General features: G+C 51.7%; 2 annotated features.

Moving 5' to 3' along the window:
* Positions 565 to 1,095: an enhancer, noted in NCBI's record as "H3K4me1 hESC enhancer chr9:33415104-33415634 (GRCh37/hg19 assembly coordinates)". NCBI's record gives its function as "activates a minimal SCP1, AML or CMV promoter by ChIP-STARR-seq in naive H9 embryonic stem cells {active_cell/tissue: H9 hESC(naive)}" and the evidence as "EXISTENCE:reporter gene assay evidence [ECO:0000049][PMID:30033119]".
* Positions 1,096 to 1,627: an enhancer, noted in NCBI's record as "H3K4me1 hESC enhancer chr9:33414572-33415103 (GRCh37/hg19 assembly coordinates)". NCBI's record gives its function as "activates a minimal SCP1, AML or CMV promoter by ChIP-STARR-seq in naive H9 embryonic stem cells {active_cell/tissue: H9 hESC(naive)}" and the evidence as "EXISTENCE:reporter gene assay evidence [ECO:0000049][PMID:30033119]".

The following is a 5,650-nucleotide window of genomic DNA, read 5'->3' as shown; positions in this document are numbered from 1 at the left end:
CTTCCTATGGGGGATGGTGGTGTCCCCTGTGTTGCTCGGTTGAAGGACTAGGGGCTGAAATCAGATCGCAGCCTCCAGGGAACTTGCACTGCCCCACAGAGGGGTTCAGACCTCCTGGAGATGTGAGGCATTAGAGTTCTGGGGCTGAGCTTCCAAATAAACTTCAAAACAGTGATGTGACAGGCCAAGACCTGCTCTCAGTGAGGCTGGAAAAATCCTTCCACCCATCCCTGCCCATGGGCCCCGACCCTGCTGCTGGAGTGAGCTGCCATGAACTCCAGCCTGAGCCCGGGAACCAGCTCAGATCTTACCCTGTCTCTCATTTGCCTCCGTCCCCACCCCCAGCCTGCTGCCTCTCAGGTTCACACTTCCTGGGCTCAGAGTTTCATCCTGAGGCTGTTGGCTCAGCCAGAGCAAACAGAGACAGCACTAAAGTCAACAAAACCAGAGAGCAAGCAGCGCAGGTGACGTGGAAAAGAAAACTTGGAAGCCACAACAAAGGCATGTGGGCTGGGCCGGGTGGAGCCCTTGAGGGGACTGGAGTTGGGGACGCACGGGTGACACCTCCAGTGGACTCAGGCTAAAGGAGTCAGCTTCGGCTGCCAGCAGGGGGTGCTAGAGCCAGTCTCATGGGTGCTGAAAACAGGATGAGGTTGGGAGTCTGGGGGTTAAGGTTCCACCTTACCCAAACCCATCTCACTGAGGCTCTTGGCTGGGTTGCCTCAGCTGCTGTGAAAGGAGTGAGAGGCTCAACTAGGGGCCAGGGTTGTGGGTAGGGGCGTGCAGGGCGGGAGTAGACAGGCTGGAACAGGAGAAAGGAGGAGCTCCCGGCTCACTGCCCCACCCCAGGTGCTTCCCCCGCACCCCCTCGCCCAGGGCTCAAGGGCTTGGAGCCGTGAATTCCTGGGGATGCCCAGGACGCCCCCACAGGCAGAGTCACCTGACAAACTGTTTCTCTCCCACTCAGTGGGGGAAAGCTCCATTCTCTCAACATTTATTGTGCATCTGCTATGTTCCCAGTGTAGGAGAAATCGTCTGGGAATCAAATGGCCCCACCCGTCACGGGCTCAGCAAGCCAGTTGTCCCCAGGAGGCAGCCTGCCCAAGGCCCTGTCATGCCTGGAACCCCCACCCGCTCAGTGAGTCGGCTGCCTGTTAACTGGGCTGGCAATTGCAGGGTGCCTGGGGCAGCCTGGCCCCTAGACTGAGGGGGTGACCAAGGGTTCAAGTCCAGAAAGCTAAGCCACTAGGCTGCAATGGCAAGGGCTGGGAGACCAGACACACCATTGGAGCGGCTGAAGAGGAAGGTGGATGTCCCTGAGCATTGCTCTTGCTGTCTGCAGAATGAGCATATTATACTCTACTCCCAGCACTTCTAGTTTGGCCCTGGCATCAGGCAAGAATCTGTTAGGGCAGGAGAAGGACAGGAGGTGTGGAGTACAGAGTTTCCCTCCCTCAGATGGGCTTCCTACCCACCACCCAGAGAGTTTACTCTACCAGGCCCTTGCCATGCCCCCTGCCCACTCAGTCCATTCTCCCAACAACCCTGCAAGATAAGGATTCATATCTTCATTTTACAGATGAAGAAGCCCAGTTAAATTTCTTGCTTTAAGTCACCCAATGCTGATTAAGAAGCTGAGCTGGATTCAAGTTCAGGTCTGTCTGTCTAAAAAGCCTGAGCTATAAACAACTCACACCCAGGTGGGGCCCTGAGTAGGGAAACTTCAAACCAGCCTCAAACTCAGGCTCCTGGCCAGGAGGTCTCTGGGTTTTTCCACTGCTCCTTCCGGCCACCACTTCAGTCTCTCCTTCCTCCTTCTCATGATGCGTCCCTTATCCTGAGCCTCCTCCCTGCTCCGATTAACCTGGTACCTGAGTCTCTACCATTTTTAGACTCTTTCTTTCCTGTGGGTTAGGAAATTGCTGCTTGGAGCTTTTCCTTTAAAATGCTTTACTGTGGAAAGATTATGAAATGGGTTTAGGCAGAAATCAAAGAATAAAAGCAGAAGGCGAAGTACTGATGCGGGGGACGGGGGGAATGTGACAATGGAGGGGTCAGGCTGTCACTCCCTGAAGCCACTGAGCAGTTGGCATCACTGAGCATGGGCAGCTAGACATGACGTGTCTCCTGATGGGATGAAATAGGAAGCATGCAGCACCTCCACAGAGGACCCGCTGCTCCAGCCCACATGCAAGACTGAACCTAAATAAAATCACACCAGACCGGGCGCGGTGGCTCGTGCCTGTAGTCCCAGCACTTTGGATGGCCGAGGTGGGTGGGTTGCTTGAGCCCAGGAGTTCGAGACCAGCCTGGGTACATGGCGAGACCCCATCTCTACAAAAAATACAAAAATTAGCGTGGCATGGTGGCATGCGCCTGTCGTCCCAGCTGAGAGAATCACTTGAACCCGGGAAGTCAAGGCTGCAGTGAGCAACATTCACGCCACTGCATTGCAGCCTGGGCAACAGAGCGAGACTGTCTCAAAAAAATAAACAAAGCCAGGCAGGGTGTGTTGGCTCACGCCTGTAATCCCAGCACTTTGGGAGGCCAAGACGGGCGGATCATGAGGTCAGGAGATCGAGACCATCCTGGCTAACACGGTGAAACCCTGTCTCTACTAAAAATACAAAAAAATTAGCCAGGCATGGCGGTGGGTGCCTGTAGTCCCAGCTACTCAGGAGGCTGAGGCAGGAGAGTGGCGTGAACCCGGGAGGCAGAGCTTGCAGTGAGCTGAGATCACACCACTGCACTCCAGCCTGGGTGACAGAGTGAGACGCTGTCTCAAAATAAATAAATAAATAAAATTAATAAAAAATAAATAAACCATACACCATTAGAGCTCTTTTTTTTTTTTTTTTTTTTTTTTGAGACAGAGTCTTGATCTGCCACCCAGGCTGGAGTGCAGTGGCACAATCTTGGCTCACTGCAACTTCTGCCTCCCAGGTTCAAGCAATTCTTGTGACTCAGCCTCCTGAGTAGCTGGGACTACTCAGGCACCCACCACCCCACCTGGCTAATTTTTTTGTATTTTTAGTAGAGACGGGGTTTCACCGTGTTGGCCAGGTTGGTCTCGAACTCCTGACCTCAGGTGATCCTCTCGCCTCAGCTTCCCAAAGTGCTGGGATTACAGGAGTGAGCCACCACACCTGGCCACTTTTTTTTGTTTTTGAGGCAGAGTCTTGTTCTGTTGCCCAGGCTGGAGTGCAGTGGTGCAATCTTCGCTCACTGCAATCTCTGCCACCTGGGTTCAAGTGATTCTCCTGCCTCAGCTTCCCCAGTGGCTAGGACTACAGGCGTGCACCACCACGCCCAGTTAATTTTTGTATTTTTAATAGAGACGGAGTTTCATCATGTTAGCCAGGCTGGTCTCAAACTCCTGACCTCAGACGATCCTCCTGCCTTGGTTTCCTAAAGTGCTGGGATTACAGGTGTGAGCCACTGCGCCCAGCCCAGAGCTGACTTCTCATATTTTTTTTTTATTTCTTTCTCTTTTTTTTTTTCTTTTTTTTTTGAGACAGGGACTTGCTCAATGGCACAGACATGGCTCACTGCAGCCTTGACTTCCCAGGTTCAAGTGATCCTGCTGCCTCAGGCTCCTGAGTAGCTGGGACTACAGGTGCATGCCACCATGCCTGGCTAATTTTTTTCCTTTGAGATGGAGTCTCGCTCTGTCGCCCAGGCTGGAGTGCAGTGGTGTGATCTTGGCTCACTGCAAGCTCCGCCTCCCGGGTTCACGCCATTCTCCTGCCTCAGCCTCCTGAGTAGCTGGGACTACAGGCGCCCACCACCACGCCCAGCTAATTTTTTGTATTTTTAGTGGAGATGGGGTTTCACCATGTTAGCCAGGATGGTCTCGATCTCCTGACCTCATGATCCGCCTGCCCCGGCCTCCCAAAGTGCTGGGATTACAGGTGTGAGCCACTGCGCCTGGCAATTTTCGTGTTTTCTGTAGAGATTGGAATTCTCCATGTTGCCCAGGCTGGCATTGAACTCCTGGGCTCTAATGATCCACTTGCCTTGGCCTCCCACAGTGCTGGAATTAGGGGTGTGGGCCACTGTGCCCAGCCACTTACTCAAAGAAATACAGGGGATGACGGAAAAGCTGAATGACACTACAAAGAAAAAACACAGACAAATCTAGAATGTGGGACTCTTACAGGACTACATTTATTCAGCAAGTCAATGACATGAAAAAATAATGATGGAGAAAGGGGAATTCCTCTTGTTTAAGAGAACATTTAACCCAACGTAATGTGTGACCTTGTTTGGATCCTGATGCAAACAATCCAACAAATCAATGCAAAAAGACACTTTGAAACAATTCCAAGTATTTGATCATTCTATGGAATTGTATATTTTGTCAGGTATGGCACTGATTATTTAAGAAAATGTTCCTATATTTTAGAGGGAACACTGAAGAATGTAGGAATGAAATGACAGAGTAGCTGGAATTTAACATATTTCAGAAAAATAAAAATAAAATAAAATAGGCAGTTTGAGACCAGCCTGGCCAACATGGTGAAACCCCATCTCTACTAAAAATACAAAAATTAGCCGGGCCTGGTGGTGGGTGCCTGTAATTCCAGCTACTTGGGAGGCTGAGGCACAAGAATCTCTTGAACCTGGGAGGTGGAGGATGCAGTGAGCTGAGATCGCTCCATTGCACTCCAGCCTGGGCAACAGAGCGAGACTCCGTCTCAAAAAGGGGAAAAAAATGGCTGTAAAATGGAGAATGAGTGAGGGTGATGCAGGAGAGGTGAGCCCCAAAGTGGGGCTTGGCCTGCGAGGGTTCTCGGCTTTGCCTCTCAAGGGCAATGCAGAGAGAAGTAGAAGAAAACAGCTTTATTGAAGCGGCAGTGTTACAGCTCCATGACTGCCCCTGCACAGCAGGGCTATACAGAGGCGGAGAGCAGCAGCCCAGGGCAGTTTTGCAGTTATATTTATACCCACTTTTAATTGTATGCAGATTAAGAGGCAATTTATGCAGAAATTCCTAGGGAAGGGGTGGTAACTTTTGGGCCATTGGGTCATTGCCATGGAAAGGGGTGATAACTCCCAGGTGTTGAGATGGCAATGATAAATTAACATGGCACATTGGGGCGCATGTCTGATTAGAAAGCTGCTTCCAGCCCTGTTTTAGCTAGTCCTCAATCTGGTCCAGTGTCCAAGCCCCACCTCTGGAGTCAAGTCCCGCCTCCTACTTCAAGGGGGATGCAGACCGGGAGACCCGTGGAGAGGCTCTTGGAGATTAGATTTGGGGCTGATTGAGGGGGCCACGAGAGAGGGAGTAGTTGAGTGACTCCTGGAGGGAAAGCTTCAGAGATGTGGTGGGGAGGAGCATTCCTTGGGCTAGGCCCTTGGGAAGGGGGCAGACTGTGGGGAGGTGAGGTTGGGTTGGGGCAGGTGAAGGTAATGTGCTTGTTACACATACGAGATAACAAGAGAGGAGGCTGGACCACTTGTTCTTGAGCTCCGGGCTGGAGATGGAGGCTGGGGAGGTGGCAGCATTTGCGTGGGGGAAGAGGATGTGAGAGCCATGCAGGGCTGCCTTCTCCATGACGCACAGGAGGCACAGGACCCATGAGAATGTTCAATCTAAGGGCCCACAAAATGTTTTAGTTTGCATCCAAATAAGAAAAAGAAGAACTTG

This window comes from Homo sapiens, chromosome 9 (assembly GCF_000001405.40).
Source record: "Homo sapiens chromosome 9, GRCh38.p14 Primary Assembly".
NCBI lineage: Eukaryota > Metazoa > Chordata > Mammalia > Primates > Hominidae > Homo > Homo sapiens.
This window is presented reverse-complemented; position numbering and strand designations above follow the sequence as displayed.